The sequence below is a fragment of the Homo sapiens genome, chromosome 10 (assembly GCF_000001405.40).
Source record: "Homo sapiens chromosome 10, GRCh38.p14 Primary Assembly".
Lineage (NCBI taxonomy): Eukaryota > Metazoa > Chordata > Mammalia > Primates > Hominidae > Homo > Homo sapiens.
Window position 1 is genome coordinate 30,587,202 of NC_000010.11, and position 15,847 is coordinate 30,603,048.

Genomic DNA, 15,847 nt, shown 5'->3' on the forward strand with positions numbered 1-15,847 from the left:
TAAAATTAGAAGATCTTGGAGATCATCAGTATAAAAGTCATACTGGTGTTTTCCTACCCTAAATATAATGCTCCTTACTCAGGAGAAGGGGGGACTGGGGATAACTTGAGGACAGCATTTGGTTCTGGGAATGAAGAGAGCAACAGGCCCCCCAGGGCAGCTCTTGCCTCTTCAGCCGAAGTTTGAGGCAGGTGACTGCCAGACCTCTTTCCCTGCTGGCCTCTTACCTCTCAACTCCAGAGAGGCATGGGGAGTAGGAGTGCCAGAGAAAATACAGGATGCTGGTTAAATTTGAGTTTCAGATTGACAACAATTTTTTTTTTGTATTAGATATCTTAAACATCGCATGGCTTAGTAGAAGCATATCTCAAATACTGCAGATGTATTTGCTAAGCCTGACAACCTTAGCTGGCAGGGGAACGGAAGAGAGCAAATGAGGAAGTGGGATCCCAGCTGGGACTGCCCCAGAGCACTGGGCTTTGGCCTTGGATCCCCTGGCGATCTTCCCCTCTCAGCGACAGGCAGCGAGGAGGAAGATCATTGGCTTCTCTTAGGGCCTGTGGCTGGAGGGAAAGTCAAGTTCAGGTGAGTGGGGAATGCTAGGGGATTTCCCTGGGGATCAGCAGGGAAGGCAGCCACATCCACACTCACTCAGAGCCGGCTGCTTCTAAGCATCAAGGCCTGATGCCGATGGTGCATGAGAGGGGCCCCTAGGGGCAGCCCCTGGGATCCCCCCAATGAAGGGCTGCTCCTGCAAATGAATGAATGGAGTGGGAGGCCACGGAGAACCTTCCAGGGCTGGTTGGCTGGGAAGTCCAAGCTTTTGCAACTGCAAGGGCCCTCAGCCCTGTCACACCCAGTGACCCCATTTGCTTATCAATACAATATTTTTTAAAAAGTCTTTTTACTATTTTGAAATTGCAACCCAAAATTTATTTTTAAATCTATGCAGTGCAACAACTGTGACATAAGGAATCAGTAGAGTCCATTTCTCTCTGTGAGGAATCTTCAGGAACTTAACCACTACAATATGTACTGACATAGGTATGCTGTGTTCATGATTTATATACTTCTGGGGGCATTAACATTATTAATCTGATTTTACAAAATTGTCAACAATTCTTGGCCAAGTTACAAACAACACACACAAAAAGTCTACCCTTGATTGACAACAAAATGTACGAGAAAATGTCATATACTTATAACCATGTTAATAAAAAGGCCTAATTGGGCATGATGGTTCAGACCTGTAATCCCAGTACTTTGGAAGGCTGAAGCAGAAGGATTCCTTGAGGCCAGGAGTTTGAGACCAGCCTGGGCAACATAGCGAGACTGCCATCTCTACATAAAATAAAATAAAACAAAAAATGCCTACATTTGTCTGCAAAATTTGTGTTTGGGCTGAGATCATTACCTGTGGGTTTTTCACCTGTATGAATGTTCAGCTGTATACTTGGAAATCGTCTAGGACATGGGATGATTTTTCACTTTACAGGGCTGACATAAGCAAAGTGGAACATCTGACCATTAAACTTTAGTAGTGTTCCCCCAATTATTATGATATTGGGGGAGTTATTATGATAACCCAACTATTCCTGACAGGGAGGAGGGAAGACAAGGGGCCAAGTGTTTATGGATTGGCTATTCATAGTGGCCAAGCATCACGTATAGCTGTTAACATATTTTTTTTATTCAAGCCTTGCAGCACCTCTAATTGGTGCATATCCTGGTATTCATTTTACAGATGGAGAAAGTGCGGCTCTGAGAGTTAGGTAGTGCTTAAGTGTGCACAGCCTGTACATGGAGAAGTATGAATTCTAATCCAGGTCTGTTTTAATCCACAGTCAGACGTTAACAACGATGTACTAATGGCGAAGGGAAAAAAGCAGCGGTTCCTGGTCAAATCTCCTCTAGAAACTCGAAGAAAGGGAAGGGGCAGGTGGTTTTGTTGGTCTTGTTTTGTTTTGCTTGGCATGGCTTAAGAGCTGCTCCTTCTGGAGGTAAGAATTAGACACTAGACCAGGTGATTTCTTGGGGTCGATTCTAACCCAATGAATTTATGTTTTTGTGAAAAATGTTAACTTTAAGAAATAATTTTCAAAAGTAGACACTTTGGACGGTCAATCACCTTTTTTTTTTTTTTCTGAGCTGCATATTTCTGATGTTTTCGGTGCACAAGTTGCCAGCAGGAATTCATCCCTCTGAACGTCTGTCATTTGGGTTTTGGCTTCTGCGTTTGTCAGATGTCCCAGGTGCCGTCAGGTGCTGGGTTGTGTCAGTGGTGACTGACCTGAGATGTGAGGTCTGCCTTCTTTTTGTTTGGGTATCAGTCCCAACAGCCACTTGGCCTCAGCGCTCTGTCACCAAGTTCTGCACTTGAAGTCTCTCTCTCTTCCCCAACAGGAAGTGGCCTTGGGCGGCCCAAGCGCTGTGTTACTGGGCTGCGGGCCGGTACTTGGGAAGAAGTCCTCCGCAGTTCAGCATCCCAGGATGCATCTAGCAGATTTGCTGCCTCATTTGAGGACTCAGGACACACAGGTCCCTCCACTGCTGTCAGCACAGCTCACCCACACCTGCTACACACCTGTCACTCCTGCAGCACCAACACCCCCCAGAGGAGCCTCCCAGGGGAGAAAATGGAACCACCAACAGGTTCTCCTATGAGAGCGTGGATCCAGAGAATATCCCTGAGCTTATTTCAAATATTAGTTCCAAAGGGCTAGAACTGCAGGGCTTAGAACAATCAATATAAAGATCGTGTTAAAATCTACTGGAAAATATGATTCAAATTGCAAAAGCTGAATTTTCATATTCTGCTTATCAAGAGTGTATTCAGGGAATCATGGGAGAAAATTTTTGCAATCTATCCATCTAACAAAGGTCTAACATCCAGAGTCTACAAGGGACTTAAACAAATTTGTAAGAAAAAAAGATAAGTGGGCAAAGGACATGAACAGACACTTCTCAAAAGAAGACATATATGTGGTCAAAAAACAAGTGAAAAAAACCTCAATATCACTGATCATTAGAGAAATTCAAATCAAAACCACAATAATGTACCTTCTCACACTAGTCAGAATGGCTATTACTGAAATGTCAAAAAACAACAGATGCTGGTGAGGTTGTGGAGAAAAAGGAACACTTTTACACTGTTGGTGGGAATGTAAATGAGTTCAACCATTATGGAAGACAGCATCGTGATTCCTCGAAGACCTAGGGGCAGAAATACCATTTGACCCAGCAATCCCTCTACTGGGTATGTACCCAAAGGAACATAAATCATTCTATTATAAAGATACATGCACACGTATGTTCACTGCAGCACTATTCACAATAGTAAAGACGTGGGATTAACCTGAATGCTCATCAGTGACAGACTGGATAAAGAAAATGTATATATAAACCATGGAATACTATGAAGCCATAAAAAGGAATAAGATCATGTCCTTTGCAGGGACACGGATGGAGTTGGAAGCCATTATTCTCAGCAAACTAATGCAGGAACAGAAAACCAAACACTGCATGTTCTCACTTATTAGTGGGAGCTGAATGATGAGAACACATGGACACTTGGGAGGAGCAACACACACTGGGGCCTGTTGTGGGTAAGTCATGGAGGGAGAGCATCAGGAAGAATAGCTAATGGATGCTGGACTTAACACCTAGGTGATGGGATGGTCTGTGCAGCAAACCACCATGGCACACATTTACCTATGTAACAAACCTGCACATTCTGCACAGGTACCCCAAACTTAAAAGTTGAAAAAAAAAATCAAGGTGTAGTTCACCCTTCCCCTGCCCCCCACTGCAAAATAAAAGAGCATATTCAGGGGATCTTTAGAATTTAGAGAGACTTTCAAAAGCTGCTTAGTACAATAACATTTATTGCATAAAGTGAAGCATAAATATTGGCATTGTGACTGTGGACTATTAAAAACGTACCCAAGTAAGCTGTGAATTTGGTTTCAGAATTCTAAATTAAGTAGCTTTGAATGAGATTTCTCCTAAAGCATTGGTTGTGTATTATATGCAGGAAGTCATTGGTTAGTTTTCTTCACATTTTATCTATTTACCCTTATTCTGCTGTATTTTTAAAAAATCATATTTGTTTTGTAGCTTTATTCCAACCTTTTGTTAGTTTCTGTGGCTCGGCCCCATCAGAGTTTTGTTTTCCCCGACTGCCATCTAGAGGCCAACAGGAGTAATTACAGACACTAGACTTCCCAGGTAGGAAAGGGTGGTGGAGACCGCAGGGCCATCAATTCATCTTTCCCGCTCTGCTGCCTAAGGGATGGTTTGCATGCCTGACTCTTCACGAATACTTTCATTCTGAGGTTGCAAGGTCTAGCTGGCCCTTCCACACACTCTCCTTTGGCTCCCTTAGAAGAGCATAGCTTGCCTCTTTAGATGTCTCATCTGTTTCAAGCTTCTGCCCAAGGACTTTATTTAATTAAAAAATAAAACAAAGCCATTCATTTCATTTCACGCTTCTAGGGAGGCAGCCTCGCCTTGGGAGCCCACGCTGTAGTATTTCAGGTGACTTTAGCCCCTGGAGGAGGTAGGTGTCACTTTGTGGAATCTTAGACACTTAACAGGTGGAAGGAGCTTTGGAGACTGTCTAGCAAGTGATCCTCAGCCTAGAAAATGGGTTTTCTCTGGCTCCAGAATTGCAATCAATTAGCAGCCAATCTTTCCCCCAAGTCACAGGAAGAAAGTTAATAAGAACGATTTTCTCAATTCTGAGTTTTCTCCCACTTATTTTTTTTCTTTTTCTTTTAATATTATTTTATTGAGACAAGGTCTTGCTCTGTCACACAGGCTGGAGTGCAGTGGTGCTGTCATGGCTCACTGCAGCCTCGACCTCCCAGGCTCAAGCAATCTTCCCACATCAGCCTCCTGAGTAGCTGGGACCACAGACACATGCCACCATTCCTAGCTATTTTTGTTTTCTTTTATTTGCAGACAGGAGGTCTCACTATGTTGCCCAGGCTGGCCTTGAACTCCTGGGCTCAAGTGATCCTCCCACCTCTGTCTCTCCAAGTGCTGGGATTATAGGTGTGATCCTCTGTGCCCAGCCCTCCCGTATATTTTTCTTAAATCATTGTACCTATTATGCTCTCTAACTGAATAGGCAACAGATGACTCTTAGGTGAGACCCTGGGACAGACGAACTGTGATCAACAGCTGCCCCTCTTCCCCTCCAATGGCTCAGGTCCCTTGTTTGGTATTTGACTATAAAGATAAGGCCTATATTTCCCCCTCTCTTTGCTGGAAAAAATTCTTTTTATTTCTTATCCTAAAAGTTAATTTATTTAGAAATTATTCTAAATTTATTTAGAAATCCACAATGTGCTGAGTAGGTCATATTGCTACATGCACCGAGTGGCATGTGGGGCTTCTATCATCCAGATAGCGTGAGAATCTGGTGGCAGATCCCCTTATTCCACAGAGGAAGCGGATAAGGCCGAGAAGGGTGAGGTGAGTACAGGGACAGAGCTGGGTCTGGAGTCCTAATTAGTAAAAAGGAGTCAGGCTGGTGGGAGGAGGGGAAAGCAAAAAGGGGAAACAGGTAAGCTGTAAGTCTGCCTTTCTTCATGGTCCAGACACACAGCCCTCCTGTGCAAATAACTCACAATCTTCCTGTGCCCAGGTATCACCAGACACCTGCAAGTTGGCTCACTGCAACCTTGGCGTTGTCAGTACCACACACAGCCCTCTCCAGCACACAGCACAAGCACCATCCTATAAAATCCCCAGCAAGCCTCTGCCTCCTGGCTGTCAGCTGCTCTTCTGCTGGCTGCCCGTTGCCTTCTTGCAACATATTTTCATGCTTTTTTTAAACAAACAAATCTGCCTTTCTTTATCTACAACTGTCTTGGTAAATTCTTTTACCCCCATGCCACCGGTCCAGATAATTGTGGCTCACCCACAACACTGGTCACTAGAAGAGCTGGGACCAGGGCCCTACTCCCATCACACTTGGCCCAGTGATTCTCCTTCTGAGACTCAAGCTCTTCGAGGTGCAGTTCCAATCACTAGGACACTTTCCTTTCGTTGAGGAACATTGTCTCTGGAAACCACCTGGTAAAAAGAGCAAGTGCAGCACTTTGCTCCCATGCTCAGGTCAGCAGGGAGTGTGGCTCAGCACTCGGGCAGGCTGTCCCCTCCCTCAAGGAGCAGAGACCAGGCTCAGAGGAGAATGTAGAGTGGGCAGAGCTGCTTCAGAAGTTGCGGTCATCAGGGATCAGGGTGGTCTGGAGCCTGTGTCCCTGGTGATGAGTGTAGGGGACCCACATGTGGAAGTTGTGGCCTCTGAAAGGAAAAGCCAGATCCAGCATTTTCCTTAACGGTCACTAATGACCTCTGCACTGCTAGATCCAATGGCCATTCCTCTGTCCTCATTGTCCTGGGCTTCAGCAGCTGGGGTGTGTTGATGGTCCCTTCTCTTTCATGATCTTTTTCCCCTTGGCATCCGGACGCCACCTTCTCTTGGTTTTCCTCCTGCTCCTTGGTCACTCTGCCTTCTCTGCTGTGTCATTCGCTGCACCTTAATCTTGTAATGTCACAATATCTTTGGACTTGCAAAAGGAAAATAAAATCCCTGGACCCCAAACTCACCATGCCAAAGGGAAAAGTGAATCTTGGCAACTGAGTTATGCTGAAACAAACAAACAACAAACCAACAACTGCCTTCCTTTTTTTCCTAGATAGCTGTAATTTCACATGCTTACTTTATCTTCTGTAGAATGTAGATTTACTGAGCACAGACAAATGCATAATTGACCTCCCCTTTTCACATGTAAAATGTGGATTCAGTGTGTACTAATCAGTGTTCTTTTTGCCAACCCTCCCTTTTTTTCCTTTCCTCCTTCCTCTCCTGCCCATTCTTTCCCTTTTAAACACTGAAGTTGTCAAAACCCTCTTTGGACAAAAGCACAGGCTACATATGTTCCTGTAACCTGCGTGTGTGTGTGTAATTTTTTCCTGAGCTCATCCTCAACCTTGGCAAAATAAACCTCTAAATCAGTTGAGATTTGCTGCAGTTCCTTCTTGGTTTCCAGCCTCATCACTTCCTCATCTCCCCACTGAGGCCTTATCCTGTCCCTTGTCTTTAAACATCTGTTTATCTACACATAACAACCCCTGCATGTCCATTGCCAGCCCTGAACTTTCTCCCAAAGTGCACACACATTCGTCCAAGTCCCTCCTTGAGATGGTGGCTTGGATGTCTAGGAGACGTCACACCGATGTGTCCAAATTTCCCCCAGATCTGCTCCGCCCACAGGTTCCCCCATTCCAGGTGTTGGTGGCTCCATTGGTCTAGCTTCCTAGGCTGAACATCCTTGACTCCTCTTTCTCTCACACGGCACACTTAATCCACCAGGAAATCCTGTTGGTTGTATCTTTAAAATACACCCAGAGTCAGACCACTTCTCCCACCTGTCTGCTGCCCCGGGTCACAGTGGCGTCATCATTTCCTGGCTGTGGCAGAACCTAGAACATTCCACCTGGTCTCCTGCTGTGACTCCTGCTACTCCTAAGGGTTCTCTTCAAAACTGCGTCAGGACAATCCTTTCAGAGCAGCTCTCATGGCACTCCTTCTCTCTCTGAGCCCTGCAGTGCTGCCCTTTTCCTTCAGTGCAGAAGCTGGCATCCTTCCCTGGTGTGCCAACCCGGTCCCCTGAGATACAGATGCCCGAGGGGTGGGGGGGGATTCAGTGAGCGAGGCTTTTCCGAGAGCATCTGCCCAAGAGAAGATATCAGGAAGGAGGGAGGAGGCTGAGGGAGGCATCAGGTTGGGATGCAGGTCAGATCTCCAATGCAGGAGAGAGAGGGAGAGTCAGGTGGGACAGTCCCAGGCTGCAGTGAAGCCTCAGGACGTAATCTCTGCAGAGCAGTCTGTGTCTCCCAGGAAAGGGCCTGCCTCATGGCCCCTCTGCGCTGTGCTGAACCTTTCCCATAAGACCCGTGCCAGCGCCATGCTGAATATTTCAATCTGCACCTCCTGCCCCTGCATTCCTAATGCCCCTTGACTGGCTCTTCCTTTCTTCTTCTTGTTATAGCACATCCTGCCTTCTAATGTGCTATACAATCTACTCATTTACTATGTCTGTTTTAGTTGTCTGTGTCTCACCTCTAAAGGCAGGGATCTTGATTTCGTTTATTAATATAGTCCAAGTAATCAGAACAGTGTCTGGTGCATAGTAAGAACTCTGTGAGTAAATACTTGTTGAATAAATGTCATCCCCATTCAGCTTTTTTGTTTTTGTTTTTGTTTTGAGACAGAGTCTGGCTCTGTCACCCAGGCTGGAGTGCAGTGGCACGATCTCGGCTCACTGTAACCTCCACCTCCCAGGTTCAAGTGAGTCTCCTGACTCAGCCTCCCAAGCAGCTGGGATTACAGGAGCACGCTACCACACCTGGTTAATTTTTATATTTTTAGTGGAGATAGAATTTCACCATGTTGGCCCGGCTGGTCTTGAACTCCTGACCTCGGGTGATCCACCCACCTCGGCCTCCCAAAGTGCTGGGATTGCAGGCATGAACCACTGCGCCCAGCTGTCATTTGGCTCTTCTGTATGTTAACCTAGCAGTTCTTTCTCAGCCTCACATTTTGAATTGGGATGCTTCGTATTGATGGGATAAATAATGATAACTTTGGTTTATTTTATCGAGCCTCTACCGGGTGTCATTTGCTTACTTCACATGGACACACACTCATCTCCCTAATACCCCTCAAGGGACACATGGTCGGCAGCGTTGTGTGGGCCTCTCCCACAGTACTTGGGTTTGGTCTGTGTGGCCGTCAGAACACAGAAGTGAAGGTTTGTCACTGCCCAGGCTATTCTGCAAAAGCTATTGTGGCTTAATCCCTTGCTCTCTCTGGAATCACTCACCGTGGGGAAAGGAAGCCAGTTTCCACACCATGAGGACGTTCAAGTGAGCTGTGGAGAAGCCCGGGAGGTGAGGATTGGGGGCTCCCTGTCTGCAGTCCTGTGAATGCACCATTGTGTAAGCAGGTCCTCTGGGCCCAGTCATGCCTTGGAATAACTCTGGACTCAGCCTGCCCCTTGACCGCTGCCTCATGGAGGTCCTGCGCTGGAGCTAAGCTGTTCCCAGATTCCTACCCTGCAGAAAACTGTGTGAGGCTGCACGTGTTTATTGTTTTAAACTGCTAAGTTTTGGGTCATTTGCTAGGCAGCCACAGTAACAAATACAGTAGGTATTACTATTATTATTATACATTTAATTTTAGAAGTAACAAATCAGAAGTTCACAGAAACTAACCTGCCTAAGGTCACGCAGGTAAGAGGAGGCAGGGCAGGGTTGGACACCTCAGAGGGGCTGGAGCACGCTGGGCCCCCCAAGCCACTTGAAGTTGAAGAGCAATTCCACATTCCATGTATACCCACGGTGACAGGTGGAAAAGCCTATGTTTGTTAATTTCACCAGAAAGATGAGGCTTATTTGCAGAGCGCAGAGGCTGGGTCATTAGGTAACAGAACCTCCAGCACAGCTTAAAAACCAAACCACACACTTGGTTTAATCCGAGTCCCTATCCTTGGGCTTGGAATGCCCAGCTATCCATCTCTGTAAAACAACATCAGGCAAAAAGAATTCAAAAGCTGCCCATCCCAATAAGCCCATACCTCTACTCATTTGTAATAAAGCCAATCTTGCTTTTATTTCAACTTGGACAGAGTTGGGATCCAGGTTTGTGGCTGTGTTTGCTTGCAGTAACCAAGGATTTAAAATCTCAGTGATGCAATCTTTCCTGTTGCACCTCTCATTTCTAAATATGCCTCTATATGGCAAAGCAATTAAGTCATTTTGTTTCAGCTTCTGATTTTACTCTTCTGAGCCCAATGTTTTTGCAACGTTTATTCAATGGAGTTATAAAGAAACCTCACCTGAATCACCTTTTAAATGAAAGAGTCGCTAACCCTTTGTGGTGCTTTATCTGCGCAGTGGGAGTGAGGGTAACGAGTAGCAGCAGGAGCTGGAAGGCCTCTTCCCTCCCTCCTCCCCAGGAGTCTGGGCTCTCAGCTGGAGGCCACTGTACCATGGCAACTTCCATTTCAATGACATTATTTCTAATGAATGACTGCCCGAGGGTTTACAGGGTGTTTCTGGCCCCAGCTCAGTGTAACCAGCAGGAGTTGGGAGCGGGACGATTTCCTGTCCCCTCACCCAGTGGTTTCTGCTTCACCATGAAAGATCACAAGAGTATTTGATGTTGGTTCTTGGGACAGAAATCGGTTAATTAAAATCAGTAAGTGTTTGGACAAATTGAATGCAAGCCACACATTGTTGGCAGAGCACAGGTACCAGAAAGGCAGGCAGAAGTCGGCCCCCAGAGAGCACAGATACAGGAAGCCCCTCTCTTCAGTCAGTCCCCCAGTTCATCAGTAATGAGAGCAAACGCAACAGGAGAGACAGAAACACAGCAACAAGCCATCTTTTCCTTCCGGCCAAACCTCCCTGACTCTCCTGGCGGCTCATCTCCCAACCTGAAAGGCTTATCGCAGAGCCTAGATGACTGGTTTGATTTTTGCTCGTTCTCTTCCTGCACCAAAAGGTAGACAGAGATTGAGAGAGGGAGAGAGAGGGAACAGAAAAGAGAGCAGGGGGTCTGAATAATCTTTAAAGTAGGTAATTATCAATACGCATCAAGAAACTTTATCATTGTCCCAAGAATGAAGGTGTTAATGATGTTTGAGTTGGAGGAACGTGCTCACCAAGTTTTGTCTTTTTGAGACCCTCTTCTTTTGGAGGTCTGGCCTCCCTAATGGACTGACCCTCTGTGTCAGTCCCAGGGAGGGAAATGGAGATCCCCCCCGGGGACTTAAAGTAGCCATTCTTCTAGTTGCAGAGCAATCAAGATACCTTTTCATCAAGGAAATGAATGAGGTTAGCACTCACCTTCCATTGCTGGGGCACAAAACAAGCGTGCCAAGGCCTTCTTGAGCTCAAGTTTATAAGATTCATGAATAAAAAAATGTGTCTTTCTGTTGAGTGCTATAGTGGTTTGGGAGGATCATAGTCAAAACATTCCTTATTAGAAAGGGCCTATTAAACACAGCCGGGGCCTTCACAAAACGTAATGTGAATATGTTTCCTGCAATTTGCAAGATGTATTTAAATATGTGTATAGACTGTTTAATTTTCTGCATGCCTGAATATCTTCACTTGCATACAAATTCTCTATTGTAATTGGCCAGGGAGGCTAATTACAAACAATTTATAAATTGAAGTGTTAACTACGTGTTTGGCACAGAACTAAGCCAGGAACACATTACCCAGTGCTCGAGAATGGAAATACAGACAGGCTGGATCTGAAGACTCAACTGGGGTGTGACATGTGGATGGTGGATCTTGAGGGCCAGCCCCTAGATCCACATGCAGAAGGAGACGTGCCATTTACATGGTCAACCGCACACCAGCCAGTGACTATTTTGAATGGGTTGCTTTGCATTTTATGACACGCATGCATTTAGTGATGTGAGATATTATAAGGCTGGCTTTCATTTCAAAGGCAGTTATTTAAACATACTTAACCTGTATAATTCTTCCCTTTGCTATTTAGATAACTGAAAGATTGAAATTGGGAAATGGAATTTTCTTAGAGCTAGGAGAGATCTTACATACGATTCACCATTTTACTCTGTACATTTTTCTAGGTGGTGTGTCTGAGGATGAGAGGAGGCAGGAAACCATCAAAGGGCATACAGCTTGTTTGGGACAAGGAGAAAAGCAGTGGGATGGGGGTGTCAGCCCTTCTCACATGTTCTAATCACCAACCTGTCCTTCGCTATTGGCTCCTTCCCTCTATCTGTAAATGTCATCAAATCTCTTTCTCCCAATACAAATAAGTAAATAAATAAACAGCCAAACACCAACATAGCCCCCAAACCGACTCCCCACTACCTTCAGTGTTCCCCTAGTAACTATCCTGACTCTCGTCTTCTCATCCACACTATTTATAAAAAGCAGCCATTGTCGTTGGGCTGTCTTTATAAGCACTCTGTCCTCAGGCCACTCTCAATGGGCCTCTTCCTGCTCCAAATCCAATGGACTTTCTTCTGTCTTCTAGGGGACCCTTCTCCTTTGTCCCTTCATAGCCCCTGGTTTCTTTGACACCGCCCTGCCCTGCTTCTGCCCACGGCTCTCGGAACCCTCCTTCTGTCCTCCGCGAGCCTGTCTCCTCGCTGGCATGCCCACGTTCTGCAGGATTCTGTACCTGCTCATAGCTCCTCCCACTTTATGCTCTGTCCTGGGCCACGCTTTTCACGCTCATGATCAACTACAAATGAAGTGCGATGTCTCCCTGATTCTGAATGTCACTTCTGAGCTTCAAATCTAAATAGTCAACAGCTTGTTGGACATCTCCACCCGGAAGTACTACAGGAACTTCAAACTCAACACATCAACAGTGGAATTCATGACTGGGCCAGGCACTGCGTTTTCTTCATCTTTGTGTATCCAGCACCTAGCAGACAGCAGGCACTCAGGAATTGTTGGCTGAGTAAGCATCTTACTTGGAAGGCAGAGGGGCGGAAATGTTTGAGAATTATAGGAGTGTGTAAAAGTCCCAAAGTGATGCAAGGAATGTAGGTTGGAGTGTTCATCAAAACTGCGTTTCCTAGAAGTCATTATATGAAAAGGACACTAGCACACGTAAATTTACAGCAGCACAATTCACAATTGCAGAGATGTGGAACCAACCTAAGTGCCCATCAACCAATGAGTGGGTAAGGAAAACGTGGTATATATACACCATGGAATACTACTCAGCCATTAGAAGGGAGGAAATAATGTCTTTTGCAACAACTTGGATGGAGCTGGAGGCCATTATTCTAAGTGAAGTAACACAGGAGTGGAAAACCAAAACCACATGATCTCACTTATAAGTTGGAGCTAAGCTATGAGTATGCAAAGGCATACCGTGTGATGTCATGGACTTTAAAGATGCAGAAAGGGGAAGTGGGTGTACAGTGTGATATCATGGACTTTAAAGATGCAGACAGGGGAAGTGGGTGGGGGACTGGGGATAAATCACCACTATATAATTCATCCATGTAACAAAAAGCACCACTTATACCCCACAAACTATTGAAATACGTTTTTTTTTAAAGGAAAGAAACTGATGCACTCAAATAAAATAATAAAATCCCAGGTCTTTGAAAATGAATGCTTCATGGTTAGGCATCACAGTCTAGTGAATATCCTGAGCCAGCCAGTCAGCTGCTTTCATCTTTTTTTTTTTTTTTTTTTTTTGTAAATGAGGCAGGGTCTCACTGTGTAGCCCAGGCTGGAGTGCAGTGGTGTGATCTCAGCTCACCGCAACCTCTGCCCTTTAGGCTAAAATTAAAGCCTTCCTCCCACCTCAGCCTCTCGTGTAGCTGGGGCCACAGGCATGCACCACCACACCTGCCTAATTTTTTTTGTTGTTGTTTTTTTGTATTTTTTCTAGAGACACAGCCACCTCCCTTGGCCTCCCAAAGTGCTGGGATTACAGTCACGAGTCTTGGCCACACCCGGCCCTTGGCTACTGTTTGAAGCTACTATTACCTTCTTGCTTACGAAGTTGCTCATTTACTTCTCAGGGCCAGCTAGGTGCCTGGAACTTCCCTTGAAGGAACTCAAGATTTTCCTTTATTTTCATGTTTGGGGGTGCTCAGCAGACCCTTAGAGAGGTCCCTGCTCCATCTCACCAAATCAAGACATTCTTAGAGGTTCATGAAACTAAGGCATGCTCAGAACACCAGAACCAAAGAAACTTCTGCCCCAAATGTACACTTAGGTCTTTCCCTCTCTCAAGCTGGGAGCAGGGTGGATCCTGGGTGTGCAGGGCTGGGACAGAGGGAGCAGTGCTGTGGGGGGAAGAGGGATCTATAAATTTTACTATAAGTGTGGGTAAAAATTTTGCTTTCTTATCAGCCAGAACCAAATTTTTCTTATAGGCAGGATCAAAGTTCATTTAAGAGCATTTTTTCATCAACTGCTTAAAGAGAAGATAAAACTTTGAGCATCTGAATTATCACAAGCCAAGATGATTAAAAAAACAAACAAACAAAAACATGCTGGAAATGATGGCTCACGCCTGTAATCCCAGCACTTTCGGAGGCTGAGGCAGGTGGATCACCAGGTCAGGAGTTCAAGACCAGCCTGGCCAATATGGTGAAACCCTGTCTCTACTAAAAATACAAAAAATAGCCGGGAGTGGTGGTGGGTGCCTATAGTCCCAGCTACATGGGGGGCTGAGGCAGGAGAATCGCTTGAATGGAAGGCGGAGGTTGCAGTGAGCCAAGATACCATCACTGCACTCCAGCCTAGGCAACAGAGCAAGACACTGTCTTAAAAAAAACAAAAAACAAAAAACAGAACAAAAGAAAAATAGGCTGTTTGGTCAGAGAGAAAAGAGAAAACAAGAGGAAAAACCCCAGAAGGGGAGCAGGAGGAGAAGCATCATTTAAGGAACAGGAATTGCTTATGTCTGAGTTTTTTGCGTTGGAAATCTAGATCTTTCAATCTTCCTAAACCTTCTAAGGAAAGTCCATATAAATGTCTTCTATGGAAGGTTTAATTTTATTTCTGTGTTGTAGAAAGGAAGAAAAGAAACCTCTTTTCTGTCAGTAACAACCATAACAATGAAAGGATTTTTATTTTTATTTATTAGCATTATTATTGTTTTTTGAGATGGGGTCTCACTCTGTCGTCCAGGCTGGAGTAAAGTGGCATGATCTCGGCTCACTGCAACCTCCACTTCCCAGGTTCAAGCAATTCTCCTGCCTCAGACTCCCGAGTAGTTGGGATTACAAGTGTGCACCACCTGTAATCCTAGCTATTTTTTTTTTTAATCTTTTTTTTATTTTTAGTAGAGATGGGGTTTCACCATGTTGGCCAGGCTGATCTCAAACTCCTGACCTCAGGTGATCCGCCTGCCTCGGCCTCCCAAAGTGCTGGGATTACAGGCATGAGCCACTGCGCCTGGGCCAAGGAGAGGATTTTTAAACAAACAAATTCAGCAGAAGTGGAGGCTCAGAGCCAGAAAAGACCATGAGAATGTAAGCTCTTTAGTGCTCAGAAATCTTGCAGAAGGCCTTGGACTTTCCAATGTTCCTAGAGTCACTCTTCCCAGGATCTTGAAGGACCAGTGGCCATAGCTAATATGTGGATGACCCCTTCGTACAAGTGCCCAGCATAACCAGACAGGACCTGCACTTTATGGGTTTGTAGTTGCATCGATTCTGGACTTTCTTGTGCTTTGTACCTTCCTATTTCTTCTCTAGGCCTATGGTCTCACCACCTTTTTCTTTCAAGAAAAATGATCCACTGGGCACGGTGGCTCACTCCTGTATTCCCAGGACTTTGGGAGCCTGAGGCAGAAGGATCACTTGAGACCAGGAGTTTAAGACCAGCCTGGGCAACATAGCAAGACCCCATCTCTACTAAGAAAAATAATTTTAAAAAAATAGACCGTTGTGGTGGCAGGCGCCTGTAATCCCAGCTACTCAGGAGGCTGATGTGAGAGTTTGAGGCTACAGTGAGCTTTGATCATGCCACTGCACTCCAGCCTGAGTGACAGAGTGAGACCCTGACTCTTAAAAAAAAAAAAAAAGAGAGAAAAATGGTCAAAAACTTGAAAATCAGGCAAATTGGTGGCAGCATGTCCTTTCAATGTCACATGGGGGTAGAAGCATTTTCTTCAACTCACTGTTAACTGTTGTTTAAAATTCCTAGACTTAGAGAAGTTATGTGTTAAGTTATAGATTTTTCCTTGATAGAGATGAAAGTCATTTCTATCTGGCAGGAAAAACAAAAACAACTCCAAAGTGTATAGTTT

The 15,847-nt window shown here is 45.2% G+C and overlaps 1 long non-coding RNA gene across 1 annotated transcript, besides 2 other annotated features; it reads left to right on the top strand.

Annotated features, from left to right (window-relative positions):
- The first annotated feature begins 484 nt into the window (after positions 1–484).
- LOC105376479 (uncharacterized) lies at positions 485–3,958 on the top strand. Its single transcript, XR_930794.4, has 4 exons — positions 485–585; positions 953–1,044; positions 1,845–2,000; positions 2,404–3,958. It is a non-coding gene; the product is annotated as an uncharacterized LOC105376479 (long non-coding RNA).
- Positions 9,789–10,404: an enhancer, noted in NCBI's record as "NANOG-H3K27ac hESC enhancer chr10:30885919-30886534 (GRCh37/hg19 assembly coordinates)". NCBI's record gives its function as "activates a minimal SCP1, AML or CMV promoter by ChIP-STARR-seq in naive H9 embryonic stem cells {active_cell/tissue: H9 hESC(naive)}" and the evidence as "EXISTENCE:reporter gene assay evidence [ECO:0000049][PMID:30033119]".
- Positions 10,405–11,019: an enhancer, noted in NCBI's record as "H3K27ac hESC enhancer chr10:30886535-30887149 (GRCh37/hg19 assembly coordinates)". NCBI's record gives its function as "activates a minimal SCP1, AML or CMV promoter by ChIP-STARR-seq in naive H9 embryonic stem cells {active_cell/tissue: H9 hESC(naive)}" and the evidence as "EXISTENCE:reporter gene assay evidence [ECO:0000049][PMID:30033119]".